Source organism: Homo sapiens, chromosome 1, assembly GCF_000001405.40.
Source record: "Homo sapiens chromosome 1, GRCh38.p14 Primary Assembly".
In the NCBI taxonomy this organism is placed as follows: Eukaryota; Metazoa; Chordata; class Mammalia; order Primates; family Hominidae; genus Homo; species Homo sapiens.
The window spans coordinates 98,494,309-98,515,769 of record NC_000001.11 but is presented as its reverse complement, the minus strand read 5'-3'; positions in this window follow the sequence as shown (position 1 = coordinate 98,515,769).

The window sequence follows — 21,461 nt, the reverse complement described above, 5'->3', positions numbered from 1 at the left end:
TTGCTGTAACTTGAGTTCTGACTGCTGGGATGGGTGATTCCACTCTGGCTATGGCTGCTTTAAAAACTCCTTCTGTAGGTGGGCATCAGCTGAGTTCAGCCCAGATTGGCTTTCTTCTGTGACAGGGCACCACTGAGTTCAATGCATTCTCACAATCATTGCACTCTTCCCCTCCCAAGTGTATAGATTCTCTCTCCACACCACGTAACTTCTGCTGGGGGATAGAGGAGGGGTGGCATTGGCAATTCAAGACTGTTTCCTAACCTCCTTAGTACCTCTTTCAGCTACATGAGTTTATAAACAGGTACTGTTAGTGCTCACCTGATTTTTGGTTCTTATGAATGTGCTTTTCTTGTGTGTTTAGATAGTCGTTAATTTGGTGATCTTATAGGAGGGACGATTGGTGGAGCCTTCTATTTGGCCATCTTGCTTGCCCCCTGTTTAGCATTTTTGAGGAACAGAAAGTAAATATGTATGATTGGTGCTGAGAGAATGTGGAGGAGAGTAGTCAGAGAAATTATAAGAGTGGGAGCAGATAGGAGAGCACCATAAATGTTCCTGGGACTTAACCCTGAGTGAATTTGGATGTCATTATAAAGCTCTGAGCTGAAGAGAGACATGATTTGACTTATACTTTAAAAGAATTTCCCTGACACATGAGTTACTGTAAGGAGACAAAGATAAAAGCAGGAAGCCTTGTTGGTGGACTATGCAGTCACCTAAAAGAGACATTATGTAGGGCAAAGAGTGAGTTGGCTATAACTAATGTCCTAACAGATTAGATATGGAGTGTGAAAGAAAAAGGGTTAAGGATGACTCCAACTTTGAAACTGAACATCTATTGGGAGGGATTAGAAATTAACTATGAAAGAAACAGTTTCTTTGGAAACTGTTTCTTATGGAAACAGTCTATGGAAGTAGACAATCAGAAATTCATTTTGAATGTGTAAAATGCAAGATTTTACAGACATTTATAATAGGTTGAATTATGCACCCTTCAGATCAACACAGCATGGCACACTTACCTTTTGATGGTAGTACACCAAGAACTACTTGAACTATTTCTACAGTCTTGGTGCCAGGTCACCATACCACTGATATTATTACAGACCCAACCTTACAGCAGCAGACTGTTCAGGGTCTTCCAAATTATCAACTAGCATGTCTCCACAGAGTGTCACTTACCACCCTTGCCTCAAGTATTTTGTCTCCTTCCCTGGTACTTCTCTGTAGACAACATTATAAAGGATGCCAGAGGCCCCACACATTGCTCACACATATGATATATGTAAGAGGGGAGGAATGATAGCCCATTTGTTGAATCCTTGACCAACGAGAGACAGGAACTGATTATTTTCTTCCCCCATTCTCCATGGACACATGATTCTGAAATGCAGCAGTGTTCCAAAGTGTTGAAGAACTAGTCACACTTAGTGGTTAGCTCCATGATACATCCTTATTTTGGCTCTCCCTAATTTCCTTCTTCACTTTCTTTATCCCTTATTTTTTTATCCCTGATATAATATTCCTTAATAAAATAATAGAGTGCAAGCATCTGCCCTCAAACAAAGACAACATCCAGGTGGAAATATCTAATAAGCAACTGTACAAGTCTGGCATTTAAGAAAAAAAGGTGTAGAATATAAATTTGGGAGTTGTTAGCATATTAATAAAATTTAAAGTCATTGGATTGGGGGACAGCACATGGAGAATGATTTAAGTAAAGATGTCTGAGGACTGAGAGTTGAACATGTCATTATTTAAAGTTTAGAAGATGAAGAAAAACAACAAGGGAGGCTTAGGAGAAATGGTCTGTAAGGTAAGAGGAAAACAAGGAGGACATGTGGTATCCTAGAATCCCAGTGAAGAAAGTGTTTTCAAGAAGGAGAGCATAATCAACTGCGTCAAATGTACTCAGAGGTTGAGTATGATGAAGATTGATTTTTGACCATTGGATTTGTCAACATGCTGGTTACTACTTTCTTGGCAAGAGTTTATTTGCTGGGGTGCTGGGACAAAATCCAGACTGCAGTGGGTTCAGGAGGGAATAAGAAGATGAGAAGTAAATTCAGTGAGTATAGAAAATTCTTCCATCCCTCTCCCTCTCCCTCTCCCTCTCCCTCTGCCTCTCCCTCTCCCTCCCCACAGTCTCCCTCTCCCTCTCTTTCCACGGTCTCCCTCTGATGCCGAGCCGAAGCTGGACTGTACTGCTGCCATCTCAGCTCACTGCAACCTCCCTGCCTGATTCTCCTGCCTCAGCCTGCTGAGTGCCTGCGATTGCAGGCGCGCGCCTCCGCTCCTGACTGGTTTTCGTATTTTTTTGTTGGAGACGGGGTTTGGCTGTGTTGGCCGGGCAGGTCTCCAGCTCCTAACCGCTAGTGATCCGCCAGCCTCGGCCTCCCGAGGTGCTGGGATTGTAGACGGAGTCTCGTTCACTCAGTGCTCAATGGTGCCCAGGCTGGAGTGCAGTGGCATGATCTCGGCTAGCTACAACCTCCACCTCCCAACCGCCTGCCTTGGCCTCCCAAAGTGCCGAGATTGCAGCCTCTGCCCGGCCGCCACCCCGTCTGGGAAGTGAGGAGCGTCTCTGCCTGGCTGCCCATCGTCTGGGATGTGAGGAGCCCCTCTGCCTGGCTGCCCAGTCTGGAAAGTGAGGAGCATCTCTGCCCGGCCGCCATCCCATCTAGGAAGTGAGGAGCGCCTCTTCCCGGCCGCCATCCCATCTGGGAGGTGAGGAGCGTCTCTGCCCGGCCGCCCCGTCTGAGAAGTGAGGAGACCCTCTGCCTGGCGACCGCCCCGTCTGAGAAGTGAGGAGCCCCTCCGCCCAGCAGCCACCCCGTCTGGGAAGTGAGGAGCATCTCCGCCCGGCAGCCACCCCATCCGGGAGGGAGGTGGGGGGGTCAGCCCCCCCACCCGGCCAGCCGCCCCCTCAGGGAGGGAGGTGGTGGGGGTCAGCCCCCCTGCCCGGCCAGCCGCCCCGTCTGGGAGGGAGGTGGGGGGGTCAGCCCCCTGCCCAGCAAGCCACCCCATCCGGGAGGTGAGGGGCGCCTCTGCCCGGCCGCCCCTACTGGGAAGTGAGGAGCCCCTCTGCCCGGCCAGCCGCCCTGTCCGGGAGGGAGGTGGGGGGGTCAGTCCCCCGCCCGGCCAGCCGCCCCGTCCGGGAGGGAGGTGTGGGGGTCAGCCCCCGCCCGGCCAGCCGCCCCGTCCGGGAGGTGAGGGGCGCCTCTGCCCGGCCGCCCCTACTGGGAAGTGAGGAGCCCCCCCGCCCGGCCAGCCACCCCGTCCGGGAGGGAGGTGGGGGGGTCAGCCCACCCACCCGGCCAGCCGCCCCTTCCGGGAGGGAGGTGGGGGGTCAGCCCCGCCGCCCGGCCAGCCGCCCCGTCCGGGAGGTGAGGGGCACCTCTGCCCGGCTGCCCCTACTGGGAAGTGAGGAGCCCCTCTGCCCAGCCACCACCCCGGCTGGGAGGTGTACCCAACAGCTCATTGAGAACGGGCCATGAGGACAGTGGCGGTTTTGTGGAATAGAAAGGGGGGAAAGGTGGGGAAAAGATTGAGAAATCGGATGGTTGCCGTGTCTGTGTAGAAGGAAGTAGACATGGGAGACTTTTCATTTTGTTCTGTAGTTAAGAAAAATTCTTCTGCCTTGGGATCCTGTTGATCTGTGACCTTACCCCCAACCCTGTGCTCTCTGAAACATGTGCTGTGTCCACTCAGGGTTAAATGGATTAAGGGTGGTGCAAGATGTGCTTTGTTAAACAGATGCTTGAAGGCAGCATGCTCGTTAAGAGTCATCACCACTCCCTAATCTCAAGTACCCAGGGACACAAACACTGCAGAAGGCCGCAGGGTCCTCTGCCTAGGAAAACCAGAGACCTTTGTTCACTTGTTTATCTGCTGACCTTCCCTCCACTATTGTCCTATGACCCTGCCAAATCCCCCTCTGCGAGAAACACCCAAGAATGATCAATTAAAAAAAAAAAAAGAAAGAAAATTCTTCCAAAGCACTTTTGCCTCTAGTCTCTTTGCATTCATTCCTTTGGTGACATTAACCAGGTTAAATGCATTAAATACATCCGTATATTGAAAATGCACAACTTCAGCCCAGATATCTCACCTTATCCCCAAAATTATATATCCAAATACTTTCCTGATGTCTCAATTTGAATTTCTAACAGATATTGTAAATATAATGTATCCAAAACAGAATCCTGAACTCCTCATATTCCCCCCAAGAAACTTATTCTCCTTTGGTCTTCCACATCTCAGTTATTGGGCATTTCCCTTAATTCTTTCAGGTTTTGTGTCCAAAAATGTAGTAATTCGTGACTCCTTTCTCTCTACACAACTGACATTCAATTTGTCAGTAAATTATACTTCATAATGCAACCCGAACCCTGGTTCTTAGACTTATCCTCTTTTTTAATAGTACTTAATATTTTGAATGTATTTATAATCAATTTATCATCTTGATTGGCCACCTTACTCAAGTAGAATGTAAGTTATTTTGATGACATCTTTATCTGATTTGTTCACTACTGTGGCCTTAATGCTTACAATACTGCCTGGCATATAGCAGAAATTCAAAGAATATTTATGATATGAGTAAAAAGTGTTATTGATGTGTGTTTGTATTTATCAGGCAGGAATGCTGACACATTTATTTTTATTTTTATATGATGAATAATAGAGGTATATAATTTGGGGTACATGTGATAATCGAACACATTCATATAATTTGTAAAGATAAAATCGGTGCACTTGGGATATTCATCACCTTAAATATTTCCTCTCTTTTGAATATATACCCAGTAGTGAAATTGCTGGATCATACAATAGTTCTATTTTTAGTTTTCAAAGAACCTCTATACTGTTCTCTATAGTGGCTATACTAATTTACATTCCCACCAACAGTGTACAAGAATTCTCTTTTCTCTGTCTCCTTGCCAGCATCTGTTATTGCCTTTTTGATAAAAGCCATTTTCAGTAGGGCAAGATGATATCTCACTGTAGTTTCGATTTGCACTTCTCTGATGATTAGCGATGTTGAGCATTTCTTTATATACCTGTTGGCCTTTGTATGTCTTCTTTTGAAAAAAAAAATGTCCATTCATATCTTGTAGCCATTTCTAAATTAGATTATTTGATTTTTGCTATTAAATTGTTTTGTGGGTTGTCTCCACTTTGTTCGTTGTTTCCTTTGCTGTGCAGAAGCTTTTTAGCTTAATGAAATCTCATTGGTCTAGTTTTGCTTTGATTGCCTGTACTTTTGGGATCTTACACAAACATTTTTCCCCACACCAGTGTCCTGGAGCATTTCCCCAATGTTTTCCTTTAGTACTTTCATAATTTCAAGTTTTAGATTTAAGTCTTAAACTTCATTTTGATTTGATTTTTTAGTGTGGTGAGAGATAAAGTTCTCGTTTTATTCTTCTGCATATAGTTGTCCAGTTTTCACAGCACCGCTTATTGAAAAGACTGTCCTTTACCCATTGTATGTTCTTGGCACCTTGTTGAAGATGAGTTGGCTGTAAATATGTAAATTTATATTTGAGTCCTCCATTCTATTCTGTTGGCCTATGTGTCTGTTTTTATGCCAGTACCATACTGATTTGGTTACTACAGCTTTGTAATACATTTTGAAGTCAGGTAATGTGATGCCTCCAGCTTTGTTCTTTTTGCTCAGGATACTTGGGCTGCTTAGTCTGTTGGAATTCCACATAAATTTTAGGATTTTTTTTTTCCTATTTCTGTGTATAATGTCATCAGTATTTGGATAGGGATTGCATTGAATCTTCAAGTTGCTTTGAGTTGTATTGTCATTTTAACAATAATAATTCTTCCAATCCATGGGCACAGAATATCTTTCCATCTTTTTGTGTCCTTTTCAATTCCTTTTATTAGTGTTTGTAGTATTGTTGTATAGACCTTTCACTTCTTTGGTTAGATTAATTTCTAGATATTTTATATTTTTGTAGCTATTGTAAATGAGACTACTTTCTTGATTTCTTTTTTCAATTGTTCACTGTTGATGTATATAAATGCTATGCTACTAATTTTTATATGTCAATCTTATATTCTGTAAATTTACCGAATTTATTAGTTCTATCAGATTTTTGGTGGAGTCTTCAGATTACTCTAAGTAGAGGATCATGTCATGAATTAACAAGGCTAATTTGACTTCTTCCTTTCCAATTTGGATGCCCTTTATTTCTTTCTCTTGCCTAATTGCTATGGCCAGGACTTCTAATACTATATTGAATAAAAATGGTGAAAGCACGCATCATTGACTGGTTCCAGATCTTAGAGGAAATTCCTTCAGTTTTTTCCGCATTCAGTATGATTTTAGTTGTGGGTTTGTCATATACAGCCTTTATTATTTTGAGGAATATTCCTTCTATATCCAGTTTGATAAGGGTTTTTATCACCAATTGATGTTAAATTTTATTAAATACTTTTTTTGGCAGCAATTGAAATCATCATATGGTTTTTATTCTTGATTCTATTAATATGATATATCACATTTATTGACTTGTGAATGTTGAACCATCTTTTTACCCCTGGGTTGAATCCCACTTGATTATGGTGAATGTCTTTTTAATATGTTGTTGAATGTCATTAGCTAGTATTCTGTTGAGAATATTTGCATCTATGTTCATCAGTGATATTGGCCTATAGTTCTTCTTTTTTCATTGTGTCCTTTTCTGGTTTCAGTATCAAGGTAATGCCTGCCTGATAGAAGGAATTTAAAAGTATTCCTTTCTCTTGATGTTTTGAACAGAGTTTGAGTAGAATTGATATTAGTTCTTCTTTAAATGTTTGGTAGAATTCAGCAGTAAAACTGTCAGATTCTGGGCTTTTATTTGATAAAAGACATCTTATTATGACTCTTATCTCATTACTTGCCAATGGTTTGTTGAGGTTTTCTGTTTCTTTATGGTTCAATTTTGGTAGTGTGTATGTATGCATAAATGAATCTATTTTTTCTAGGTTTCTCAATTTGTTGGGATATTTTTGTTAATGATAGTCTCTAGTAATTCTTTGTATTTCTGTGGTCTCGGTCATTACATCTCCTTTTTCATTTCTGATGTTATCTATTTAGTTTTTATTCGTAGTTTAGCCAATTGTTTGTCAGTTTTATCTTTTCAAAAATCCAACTTTTTGTTTTGTTGATCTCCTATAATTTTTTTTAGTCTCAATTTTATTTCTGTTCTGATCTTTATTATTTTTATTTCATTCTGCTAATTTTGAGCTTAGTTTGTTCTTGCTTTCCTAGTTCCTTGAAATGAATAGTCAGGTTGTTTATTTGAAATATTTCTACTTTTTTGATATAACTCTTTATTGCTATAAACTTTCTTCTTAACACAGCTTTTGATGTATCTTATAAATTTTGGTTCGTGGAATTTCCATTTTCATTTGTGTCAAGATATTTTTAAATTCTCCACTGATCCATTGGTCATCCAGGAGCATATTGTTCAATTTTCATGTGTTTGTGAAATTTCTGAAATTTCTCTTATTATCGATTTCTAGTTTTAGTCCATTGTGGAATAAAGGAAAGATGCTTGATGTAATTTCTACTTTTTAAAATGTACTCAGACATATTTTGTAGCCAAAGTTACAGTGTATTCTGGAGAATGCTCTGTGCACTGGTGAAAATAATATGTATTCTATAGCAGTTGGGTGAAATGTTTTGCAAATGTCAGTGAGACCTGTTTGATCTAGTGTGTAGTTTATGATGTTTCTTTGTTGATTTTCTGACTAGGTTATCTGTCCGTTATTTAGAATGAAGTATTACAGTCTTCTACTATGGCAATATTGGAATTTATCTCTCCTTTAAATCTATTCATATTTGCTTTATATACTTGCGCACTCTGCTGTTGGGTGTATAGATATTTATAATTGCTATCTCCTCTTGCTGAACTGATCCCTTTCTCAGTTTATACTGACCTTCTTTATCTCTTTTTACAGTCCTAGATATGCAGTCTATTTTATCTAAAATATTGCTACTCTTGCCCTTTTTTTGGTTTCCAGTTGCATGGAATATCTTTTTCTACCCCTACACTTTCAATCTATGTGTTGCTTTATAGGTGAAGTGGGTTTCTCGTAGGCAGTATATAATCAGGTCTTGTTTCTTTATACATTCAGCCACTTTATGCCTTTTAATTGGAGAATTGAGTCCATTTATATTTAGTGTTATAATTGATAAGTAAGGACTTACTACTGCCGTTTTGTTGCTTGTTTGCTGGTGGTTTTGTAACTCCTCTCTTTTATTCTTAGTTTCTTGCTATCTTCCTCTGTGGTTAAGTGACTTTCTCAGGTAGTAAGTTTTAATGCCTTAGTTTTTATTTTAAGTGAATCTATTATAGGCTTTTGCATCATGGCTACCATGAGGCTTACAAGAAAACATAGATATAAAAAATTATTTCAAAGAGTTAACAACTTATCTTAGATCACAAAGAAAAATAGAAATAAAAAAATTTCTACACTTAACTATTTCTCCATATTTTGACTTTTAGTCTTCTCAATTTACATATTTTATTATTACCTGTCTCTCAGCAGGTTTCTCTAGCTACTGATAGATTTATTTTGAGGGCTGCATATTCAAGTTATGAATTGATTGCACGCAACTACAGTAAGAGTGTATCTGAATTTGTCTGTATACTTAATTTTACCAGTGGGTTGTATACCTTCAAATCTGTGGTGTTTGTGTGTGTGTGTGTTTTGCGTATTAGTGTTTTGGTTTTTGTTTCTTTCAGATTGAAGAACTCCTTTTAGCATTTCTTGTAAGATAGGTCTGGTGGTGATAAATTCTCTCAGCTTTGGTCTGGGAAAGATAACTTTGAAGGATAACTTTGATAGACACAGTATTCTTGGATGGCAGTTGTTTATTTTATTTTTATTTTTAGCACTTTGAAAATATCATTCTTTTCCCTCCTGGCCCAAAGCAAGTTTCTGTTGAGAATTTTGCAGCCAAATAAATTGGAACAGCTTTATATGCCATTGCCTTCTTTTCTCTTGATGCTTTTAGGATTCTCTCTTTGTCTTTAACCTTTTTTTTTTCTTTTTTTTTTTTTTTTTTTTTTTTTGCCCAGGCTAGAATGCAGTAGCACAATCTTGGCTCACTGCAACCTCTACCTCCTAAATTCAAGCAACTGTCCTGCTTCAGCCACCTGAGTAGCTGGGATTACAGGTAGCTGGGATTACACACCTGGCTAATTTTTGTATTTTTAGTAGACACAGTGTTTCACTATGTTGGCCAGGCTGGTCTCAAACTCCTGGCTTCAAGTGATTGCCCATATCAGCCTCCCAAAGTGCTGGGATTACAGGTGTCAGCCACTGCATCTTTGTTTTTAACCTTTTCTAGTTTGATTATTATATGCCTTGGGGTTGTCTTATTTGTGTCAGATCTGTTTGGTGTTCTCTGACGTTCCTGTTACTGCATATTTGTATTTTTCTTAAGTTTGGGAAAGTTTTCTGATATTGTTTATTTGAATAACCTTTCTACCTTTTGTTCTTGTTCAAATCCTTCTTGAAAACCAATGATTCTTTGATTTGGCTTTTTGAAGTAATTTTCTATATTTTGTAGGAAATCTTCATTGCTTTTCATTCTGTCTTCTTTTTTCTCCTATGATTGTGTAATTTCAAATAGCCTGACTTCTAATTCACTGTATCTTTCTTCTGTTTGACCCATTCTGATGTTGAGAGCCTCTAATGAATTTTTTAGTTTAGCAAATATATTTCTTAGTCCCAAGGTTTTTGCTGTTTTTTAAATTAACATTTCAATATCTTTGTTGAACTTCACTGACAAGTTTCTGAATTGCTTTTCTGTATTATCCTTGAGATCCCAAATTTCCTTCAAACTACCATTCTGAATTCTTGGCAGAGAACTCACATATTGCCATCCTGTTAGGGTCAGTTACTTGTTTCTTATTTTGTCCACTTGGGGAGATCATTGTTCTCTGTTGTTGTTTCTTGCAGATGTCCATTGATGTCTTTCCATTGAAGGATTAGTAATTTATTCTAGTCTTCTCTATCTGGCTTGTTTGGGTTTTTATTGGATATATTTGTTTATAGCTTCTCTACCATTTGGTCACTGTGTCTTTTTCAGCTCTAGGTGATGCCTCAAGCCCAAGTTTGCCTCAGCTCTAGTAGATGATGGAAAAGCTGCCCTTCTTAAATGGGGGCAGTCCCAGAGGTGACATCTCAGCAGCTTGGGAAGTCTGGCTTAGGGTTTGTTCCTAGGGACCCTATGAGACAAAACTACAGTGTGGTGCTGTTGAACAGCTACTCTGATGTGGTGTCTCTTTTGGCTGAGTTACAAAGCAGAGTTTCCAGGGCTGGGGATGGTAGTTCCACCTCCCTGCTTTGCTTCTGCCTGTCCTCAGGGACATTTCTCCCTTGAGGCACTCACGATGCTTCTGTGAGTTAAAGCAGTAATGGGTCTTCTGCCAGGGAAAACAAGGTAATGAAAAAGCTCATTATACATTTAAATCTGTTTTTAGTGTAGAAACAGTGAGTTGTGGGAAATTTTTCCACAAGTTTCCTGCCAGACAGAATTGGGGCAAAGGCATCATGGACTTGGAAATTCAATTCTCTTACCAACCACATGGAATTGTTTTCACTTCTCTGTGGCTTGGGGATTTGTCTCATTGTCATGTATGAGTTCTGGGAGATTTCTGGTAATAAACTTGACACCACATATTTTCTTTTCGTTTGCTTTTGTGGGGAGAATGAAGACAGCTTGCTTCTATATTGCCATTTTGGAACGACAAATCCTAGTAAAAATTTTTAAACAAGCTTGATATCATCTATATCAGATCAAATTCCCTTGATTCTTTAGCTTATTTTATTTATATTTTTAAATTTCTCTCTCTTTCTCTCTTTTTCCTGAAAGGCGGGTCTCACTATGTTTCCCAGACTGGTCTGAAATTCCTGGGCTCAAGCAGTCCTTCCACCTATCCCTCCTGAGTAACTGGGATTACAGGCATACACTACTATGGCCAGCTCATTTGCTTACTTTAAAATTAAGGTAATCTTTTCATAGATGATGTAGGAAAGTTTAATTATTTTTCCTGAAGTTTCAACAATTTGAGTGTATAAAACAAAATGATAACAGGTTAACAGGAAAAAAGGCATATCAATTTATTAATGTGTAAATGGGCATGGAAGTCATAAAATGTGAAAACTCAAAGGAGAGCCAGATGGTCGATGCTGAAATATCCCCTTCATTTATTGGGAAGACAGAAGATGAGGGTTCAAGGTGTAGAAGTAAATTATTTCCAGGGGAAATGAATAAGCTCAAAAACAGTGGTCTAGGGCCAAATTTATCTGGGTTATGGGGAGATAGCTCACAGGTTATAGGAGAGTGAAGGGGGGAAAGCACGTCAAACAAAGGCTGTCATGTTATACAGATGAAAATATGTCAGGTAATTTCAGAGCTACCCTCAGAAAAAAATGATGGTAGCCTGTGGTTGAGTTCATCTTTCCTTGATCTGGACAATGGGGATAAGGGGATGCTCAAAGAAAGCCTATTTATTTCAATAATGTAGATTTTTCTCTGCAGATAAAAAATCTCCACAAAAGGCAGCTTTTCAAGGCTATTCCTGTCTTCAAGCCTTCTGAGCAACCATCTCAAAATATGTCAAAGAAGTATCTTTTGGGGTGAAATATTTTTGGTTTCCTCTAATAGCATAAAATTTTTGATGTAAATGTTCAAAGCTGCTTACTTGTTCTATCCAGCATGTTAGAATGCTCTTACTGATGTAGAGAGACAAAGATAAGGCAACACCAAGAACAAGATGAAAAGAAGGGCTTAAGATGGGGATATTTTGGAACATTTGCTGATAGAGCACAGACGATGTGCATGTGGATATAATTTTTTTTCTTCAGAGCCAGGTTGAGCAACATGACCCTTTTCTAAAGCTTCTTATACTTTCCTTATATTGCTGATGTAAAGCTTCTGTTTTATTAAAGCTTATGGTGATAAGAAGGTTAGATCCAGATTAATCTAACATCTATTTTCCTTGAAATCCAATGAAATTATTTTATCACTTAGGAGATGTATCATATTTTTGCATTCAGATAAAAAATAAAAAGCAAGGAAAATAAGCATTTTACTACGGGCATTGTGAACCAGGTTTTAACCTATCAATGTAAACAACATTTTCTTCCATTTAAAATATATATATATACACACATATATACATATATATGTATATATTTCCAAAAACATGCTTTACTTCTCCATAAAGATGTTATGAAGCTTAGCAGAGAAAAACAGGTTGTTAGCATGTGACTTAAAAATAAAACAATAAAAATATTCCTAACAATGTCAAAAGAAAACCTAAGAAAATGTGCTGTCTTGGATTTTTAGCTTTGGTTATAGAGTGACAAATGATTGCTTGAAAACCTAAGAAATCTTTCTTTTAAAAAAATTGTTATTTGCAGACTTGAAGAAACTTAAAAACATTATGTAAAAATAAGACAATATAAAATTGTGGGTGGATGATTGGCAATAACAACCTAGAATTTGAGATCAATGACCTTAATTGTTATTCTAGAATAAACATCAGAAGGAAAATAACCATTCATTAGACTCAACAATAGGCAGAAACCACAGCTGGCAAGAAGAGTGTATTTCCCTTATGCAAAGTCTTTAAGCAGTGCTTTAGATTTGCTTAACAAGAAAGACTGATTTGCATTTCCTTATATTTCTTTTTCTTGGTTGGCTTTCACCAGTGTCCTGGTGGGGCCCTTTTTCTCTTAAATTTTAATTTGTTTTCTGATACATGAACTCATTTTTCTATTTGAAGGAATGGAACAATGCCCACAGCACAGTGAAAAATGAAGCTTTCAATCAGGAATCCAGGTATTGAGAAAAATAAATGGCAATATGTTTAACAGATTACTGTATCCAAATATATTGAATGGCTAAATTTTTGCACATTTTAATCCCTATTACCATTTCACTATTTTCCCCTGTGATTATTTTTCTTATTATTTTTTTCTTTCTGTTTTTTAATTTTTTTCTCTGTGGTTAATATTTTTATTTGGCTTTAGGGAAAATAATTTGACATTTAACAAATCTAAATACCTATAACATTTAACAAATTGAAATCTATCACAGGAAAATGATTGTCTTAATTTAAAATGTGATTACTTAAAGATAAATACAAAGATCATATTAAAATGATTAAATCATGAGAGTGCTTTTATGAAGGTCATATATTATAAAAATACATTGAGAATATTGTATATGTTCATTTAATGATGGGAATTATTTTAGACCTTGGCTATAGCATATAAAAAGCTATTTCTATTTTCTCTAAATATTTGTTCAAATAATTTCTGTAGAGATTTCACTTCTGGGCAAGACGAAGTAAGCCCACTACCCTGGCTCTCCAACTGAACATAAATATAACCTCTGAACAGAAGGAATAGAGAAGACATCTGAAGACTAAAAAGTAAATGGTAATGGGGAGATTTGTGAAGGAGTCCAGAATTTGATGTAATCCCAAAAGTGTTAGCGGTGGTGAATCCATAAAGGTCTGCAGTAACCTCAATTCTTGCCTCCTCAGAAGAAAGAATTTGGGCAAGGGAGCTTAAGGCAGAAGGAGAGACCTGACATAGACTCAAAGTTTTGGAGCAGGAGTGAACGTTTATTAAAAAGCTTTGGAGCAGGAATGAAAGGAGGCAAAGTACACTTAGAAGAGGGCCAAGCGGGTGATTTGAGAGATTAAGTGTACAGTTTGACCTTTTGACCTGGGGTTTTAGATGTTGGCATGCTTCCAGAGTCTTGTGTCCCTTCTCCCTGATTCTTCCCTTAAGGTGGGCTGTCCACACGCACAGTGGCCTGCTAGCACTTGGGAGGTGAGCATGTGCAGTGTGTTTACTGGAGTTGTATGCATGCTCACTTGAGGCATTCTTCCCTTACCATTCCAATGTCATATACCAGTTAAACTCCACCATTTTGCCACTTAGTGCACCTCCTTGATCCCATTCACCCATCTCCTGAGATCTTATTGGGAAGCTGCTGATCACCAGTTTCAGGTATTTTCTATCTACTGGGAGACTGCCTTTTCCTGGTGCTGGCTGTGATCAATTATTATTTCAGAGAGACAGTTTAACAACAGCCTGACCATCAACTGATGGTCACCTGACATTCTTGATTAGGGTGAGCCCTCTCCTGCCCTGCTTATGCCAGACTAGATACCTACTGTAACAAAACCAGAGATTAATGTCTCTTTTTTTCCCCCTACCAGTGAGAAGTGAAGCCACCCTTCCTGGGTCAAGTGGGGACTTGGAGAACTTTTCTGTCTAGCTAGAGGATTGTAAACACACCAATCAGCCCTCTGTGTCTAGCTAAACGATTGTAAATGCACCAATCAACACTCTGTAAAAATGCACCAATCAGTACTCTGTGTCTAGCAAAAGGATTGTAAATGCACCAATCAGCACTCTGTAAAATGAACCAATCAGCGCTCTGTAAAATGGACCAATCAGCGCTCTGTAAAATGGACCAATCAGCAGGATGTGGGCAGGGCCAAATAAAGGAATAAAAGCTGGCCACCCCAGCCAACAGCAGCAACCTGCTCAGGTCCCCTTCTACACTGTGGAAGCTTTGTTCTTTCACTCTTCACAGTAGATCTTGCTGCTGCTCATTCTTTGGGTCCACATTACTTTTAAGAGCTGTAACACTCACTGCGAAGGTCTGTGGCTTCCCTCCTGAAGTCAGTGAGACCACGAACCCACTGGAAGGAAGAAATTCTGGACACATCTGAACATCTGAAGGAACAAACTCCAGACACACCATCTTTAAGAACTGTAACACTCACTGCAAGGGTCTGTGGCTTCATTCTTGAAGTCAGCAAGACCAAGAACCCATTGGAAGGAACCAATTCTGGACACACCAGTATCTCCTGCCATATGCCGTAGACTCAAAGCCAACCTGACACCTAGAAGTACCAACTGGTGGGGACAGAGGGGGTCTCATTTTTTGTAACATAAAGTTGTAAACAAGACTCCTAAAGTCTAAAAAGAATGGGGTAAATCCCTGTTTTCTTTTCTTTTCTTTCTCACTATCCTTTTTCCCAGGCACAGAGTCTGGGCAACATCTAAAATACTACAAGGTGGAGACCTTTTTTTTTTTTGACAAAAGGAATAGTGATTCTAAAGGCAAGGTATGAATTTACTTTGAGTCATATTCTCTCTCTGTCCTCCTATTGCTTCGTGCTAGATGCAGTCTCAATTTTCAGAAGTGGCAAAACAGGAAAACCCAAAGCCTGGCTTTCTGACTACAGGATCATGAAATGAAAGCACAGGCAAGCAGAAAGTTCTGAGACCGCAGGGAGAAGGGAATTCTAAGGCAGCTATTGCTTAAACTAGTGTATGAACTACTGGACTCACATTCCCATGCTGCACTTGCATGGATCTGACCCCAAACAGCATACCAAAGGCATTAAAAACTATAGTCTACACAACTTCCCAGGTTCCAGACCAGCCACTGAGTTGTCAAAAATATTTTCAGTGGGACAATAGCCCACAGTAGGTGGTGCTGGAAAAAGGTACCCTGAAGTTAAGTTTGTTTCTTGCCTACTAAAACAAAACTAGACAATAAAAACCCACCATAATCCTAAGATTTAAATGAGACCTAGAGTCTGTAACATAATATTCAAAAGGTCCAGAATATCATCTAAATGAAGAACTAGCATATGAAGAACAAAGCAAATCTCAGCTCACAAAAGAAAAGACAACAGATGCCAATGCTGAAAGGACACACATGTTGAAATTACAAGACAAAGACATTAAAGTCATTATAAGTCTTCAGAAATAACTCTCAAGAAATAAGACTGAACACTTTTAAGCAAATAGGAAAATAAAGTCTCAACAAAGATAAGATAGAAACAAAACCAACAGAAAATTTTAGAGCTATAAGTGGAAAATTTTAGAACAATAACCAAATTTTAAAAATTTACTCGTTGGACTCAATAACAGAATTGAAATGGCAAAGGAGTCAGTGAACTTGAAGATAAATAATGAAAAATTATCCAATCTGAACTCTAGAGAGTAAAATGATTGGAAAAAAAGAAGGAACAGAACCCCAGGGACTGGGATAAAACTAAAACATCTGACATTTGTGTCACTGGAGTCAAAAAAGGAGAGGAGAAAGAGTGTGGTGTATAAAAAATATTTGAATGGCTGAAAATTTCCCAAATTTGTTGAAAGGTCTAAACTTATACATTTGAGCAACTCAGAAAATCCTAAAGAGGATAAGCTGAAAGAAATCCATGCTAAAACACATCATAATAAAACTGCTCAAACTACTGACCAAGGAAAATACTTTTAAAAACAGACAGAAAAATAAAAATTGATGCATAGTATGTAGGTGCATGAGTTTCTAATGAATGTGGATTTTTCCTCAGCAACCATGTGGGCCAGAGGAAAGTGGAATTTTTTTTAGATGCTGAAAATAAAGAATTTTCATCCTAGAATTCTATGTCCAGTGAAAATATCCTTCAGGAATGAAGGTTAAAATAAAGACATTCTCAGATGAAGGAAACAAAGAATTTCTACTAAGCAGATCTGCTAAAAGGGGATTTACTTGATTTGCTTTGTTAAAAACCAAGTACAGTTTCTGTGGGATAATTAACAGTATAAGAAATAATCTGTTTATTCACTCAATAAATATTGAGTAATATACATAACAAAATGTATAAAACTTGCTACACACTACTGTGGATACAAAGATATCTATAATATAGATCATGTTCTGAAGAAGCTTATGAGCTGCAGTGGAAATTAGAATATGTACATAGAAAATATTGTATCTGTTCTTATGAAATCCCCATGTGTAACAAACTACCTGAAACTTAGAGACTTCGAATGACTCAAAACAAAAATTTATTATTCTCTTTCACAGTGATGTTTATTGATTGGGGCCAGCTAGTGGTTTTGAGTTGAGATTTCTGATATGGTTATAACCTGTTATCAGCTGGGCTGGGGACATCTGAAAGTTCCAGTGAACTGGGTTTCCAACAAGCCTCACTCAATGGCAAGCAATTGATTCTGGCTATTAGCTGGAAGCTCACCTAGGGGTATTAATAGGAATACATATCCATGTTCTCTCCATGTGTCTTGAGTCTCTCACTGTACAGAAGTTGAGTTAAGTTCCCACTGGGTGTATCCAAGAGTGTGTTCCAAGAGACCCAGGTATAGCTGAAGATTTCTTAATACCAAGCCTTGGAAATCACATAGGAACATTTGACCATTTTATTGGTCAAAATTCTGAGCCAGCCCAGATTCTAGGGGAGGGGACAGAATGTATTATGAATATTGAGAAGTATGGCTCATTTTCAGACCATCTTTGTAAATAACTAGTGTCTGCTTTCTTTTTGACAATGATCCACATCCTTTATGAACGCAAAATCTACTCATCCCTCACCCAAAACTTAATCGCCCAATGGGCTCTTCCTGCCTACCACACAGACAGGATGAATTTACTCATACTATGGCATTGCAGTAGAAAAAGATTTTAATTGACACAAGGCCAAGCCCACATGGAAGAACTGGAGTTTTATTACTCAAATCAGTCTCACTGAAGGCTCAGAAGTTAGGGGTTTTATGGGCAAATTGGTGGGTAGGGCGGCTACGGAATGGGTGCTGCTGATTGCTTGGAAATAAAATCATAGGGGTGTGGAAAATGGTCCTTCTGCCCTGAGTCCACCTCCGTATGGGGCCACAAGACCAGCTGAATCATGAGTTATAGGGGTCCAGGTTGGGTCTGTGTGAAAATTATCTTAAAAAAAATCAATCTTAGGTTCTACAATAGTGATGTTATGTATAGGGACAACTGGGAAGTGGCAATCTTGTGATGTTTGACCACAAGACCCCTGAGCAATAAAGGATTATAGAAATTATCCTATTTTGTGAACTCTGGCCTGGACATATGACTGCTGAGCAAGTGACAGATTACAAAAAGCATGCCTACACTTTAGCAGAGTTCAGACCCCTCCCATAGTCCTTGTTTTAGTCCTTTTTCAGGCTGCTGATAAAGACATACCGGAGACTCGGCAATTTACAAAACAAAAGAGGTCCAATGGACTCACAGTTCCACATTGCTGGGGAGGCCTCACAATCATGACAGAAGGTGAAAAGCATGTCTCACATGGTAGCAGACAAGAGAAGAGAATGAGAGCCAAGCCAAAGGGGTTTCCCACTATAAAATCATCAGATCTCATGAGACTTATTCACTAACACACAAACAGCATGGAGGAAACTGCTCCCATGATTCAATTATCTCCCACTGGGTCCCTCCCACAACACAAGGGAATTATGGGAGCTACAATTCAAGACGAGAGTTTGGTGGGGACACAGCCAAACCATATAAATCCTATTAGTGTGGCTTTTCATTAGTCTTGCAAAGGTTGTTCTCGGTCCCTTAGCAAGGAGGGGGTTAGTTTTAGAAAGGGACTATTATAATCTTTGCTTTTAAGATAAACCATAAACTAAATTACACCCAAAGTTAACTTGGTCTACAAGCAAGAATGACCAAGGAGAGCTTGGAGGTCAGAAGCAAGATGGAGTCAACTATGTTAGATTTCTCTTACTGCCATAATTTTGCAAAGGTGGTGTCAGACCTGTAGCATCTCATCTCATTACCACATTGGCTCAAGCTTGATGTTGAAGAGATTACTATTTAATTGGGTCCAGGTGCAGTATTTTCTGTTTGATTTATAAGGCCTGTTAACTAAAGACCAAAGTTATCTGTGTCTCCCCCACACACTTTATACACATTCAACATAAAATGGTTTTTTAAAAAAGCATGATAAACCGCAATAAACATTTAATTTTAAAGGTGGGATGGAAGACAGAAATATATCTCTATTTGACAGCAGTTCTGAAATCCAGGTAGACACATACCACCAACTTCCTGATTAGGGTCTAGTCATGAGCCCTGGGAGTGATTCTCTAGTCTTTGCTCTGAGTCACCATTCATTTTTTATTAGAAATTGCCTATGTTTGCCACTGACTAACTTTGTTAGCCTGTTTCTGCCTGTAAAAGTTTAGAGCTTTAAAGTCTCTTATTTTTGAACTGTATCTGTCCTTTTTAGTTCAAGCTGGTGGTACTTCTGCCAATACAATATTTTTTAAAACTTCATGAGTTACTTATGACTCTCATTGGGATTCAGTCCATCAAAAACTGCAGACAAAAACAAAAAGCCTCACCCACAAATTCCTTTGAAATTGTTTATTTTCTAACTGTAGCTGAGATTCATTGTAATGAAGGACAATGCCCTTAAGATTCTTTTAAGGCATGTCTTAAATCTTTTGGCTGCATCCTAAGGGTTCTCTCAGCCACACCCTTGATCTCAACTTTACCCTGGGGCTACAATTTACTGGCAATGCCCTGAATTTGATACGTGCCCTAAGGCATTTTTTACTTTTTGTCCCCATCAGTTGTAAAATGTGAGGATGAAAATAATCCTATCTTTTAACTCAGCAAGTCTTAAATTCTTTATATTTTCTATGAAACTTCTTAGAAAATTGAATAGGGCTTTTTTTGGTTCATGTCTCTATATCCATACCTTTCCATATATGGCTAAAAAAAGCCAGTTAGCACTTAGAACATTACGCCTGGAAGTCTCCTTCTTGAAATCCACCTGTTCCTAAACATATTTTCCATTTGCAACTATACTGAAATCTTTGCCCCTGAATAAAAAGATCACAATGTCTCTAATCTCTAATAACAATTTATCACTGTCTTTCAAGCCTTCACTCTTTCTTTGAGGCCTTTCCAGTTTCTACCTGGGTTGACATTAGCATCTAATTCAGTTTCTCTGTCCAACGCATCTACTAACATAATCCTTTTTTTCTTCTTCTTCTTTTTTTTTTTTTTTTTTTTTTTGAGACAGGGTCTTGCTCTGCTGCGCAGTGCAGTGGCATAATCGCAGCTCACTGCAGCCTAGAACTTCTGGGCTCAAGTGATTTTTCTGCCTGAACCTCCTGAGTAGCTGGGACTACAAGGCATGCATCACAATGCCCAACTAATTTTTAAAGTTTTTGTAGAGACAAAGAGTCTCACTATATTGCCCAGGCTTGTCTCAAACTCCTGGACTCAAGCAATTTTCTGGCCTTGGCCTCCCAAAGTGTAGGATTACAAGTATAAGCCACCATGCCCAACCTATAGTATCCTTTTTTACATCAGTGTTCTTGTCATTTCTTCTAAAACCTTCACTCCACAGTTACTTGCAAACTTCCACTTCTTCCATTGAACTTATTTGCTTTCATCTTTGTTCAATTCCAAAGACTGTATCATCAATCTTCTTGTCAAATAATAAGCAGAACCACTTAAAATTACAACTATGCTATATAAGATAAATGTATTCTGCTATGATTGTACATAATGAGGGAATTGGCCTAGTTAGAAAGGTCAAAAGAGGTTTTCCTGAGAAAGCCATGATTAAGCTAAAACCTGAAGGAAAAAAAAAGTTGGTAAAAGATTGTGGCTTGCTATCATTTAGCATTGCTCCGATTATCTCAATTCTGAGTTTTCATTTGACCATAGTCATACTGCCTTCTAACAGTACTGTTTCTCATGTTGCCGCATCTTCTTTGTTCTTATTTCATACTTCACACTCTCAATTTTTCTCCATCTCCTGCATGACTGCCACTAGGCTCCCTACCCCAAATCAGCCTCTGTGTCAACGGTGCTCACTTTACATACTGGAATATCCCAACAAGTTTATTTTTTTAGTTAATCTCCATGTTCTTCAACTCATCTAATATATTCAACCTGCCCCCCAATTACTCTTTAATATGCCAGCCTGCTGATTTCCTTATTGTAAATTGAAGTATAAAATTATCCTTTATTATTATTGTTATTTTTTGTATCTGCTAATCCCATTTGACATAGAATCACCAATATCTATAATACTGACCACAGTGTGTGGCCAATAAATATTTGTTTAATAAATGAATAAACAAATGAATGTTTTATTTCTTTTACAAAGGAAATGGAGAAAATCTTGATATTGGGAGTATGATAAATTTAAGCCATCTAATTTCAACTAGCATATTTAGTTTCTTTAATTCCCTAAGTCTCCCTCACATTTTCTAATGCATTTTTTTCTAGAAACCATTTTTGCCACTCTTATTTTCAGCAGATTACTTCTAATTAGTTAAGATCCAAATGAGCTCCTCAAATACCTTTTTTTGTTTGTTTCCTCACTTTTACATTGTCCAGTTTTTTCAAGTGAGTTGAAAAGTATAAACCAATTTGGTATAACGATGACCTCAACTTTGGCTCATTTATTTACTAGCTCATTTATCAAAAAGTGTTCTATGTTTAGAACAACAGAGGCAACATCGCATTATTTCTGCCATTAAGAAGCTCACAGAAAAGCCATGTTCCATAATAACTGCATGCTCCAGACACTGCAGGGTCCAGTGTCTTTCTCTGCATCCAC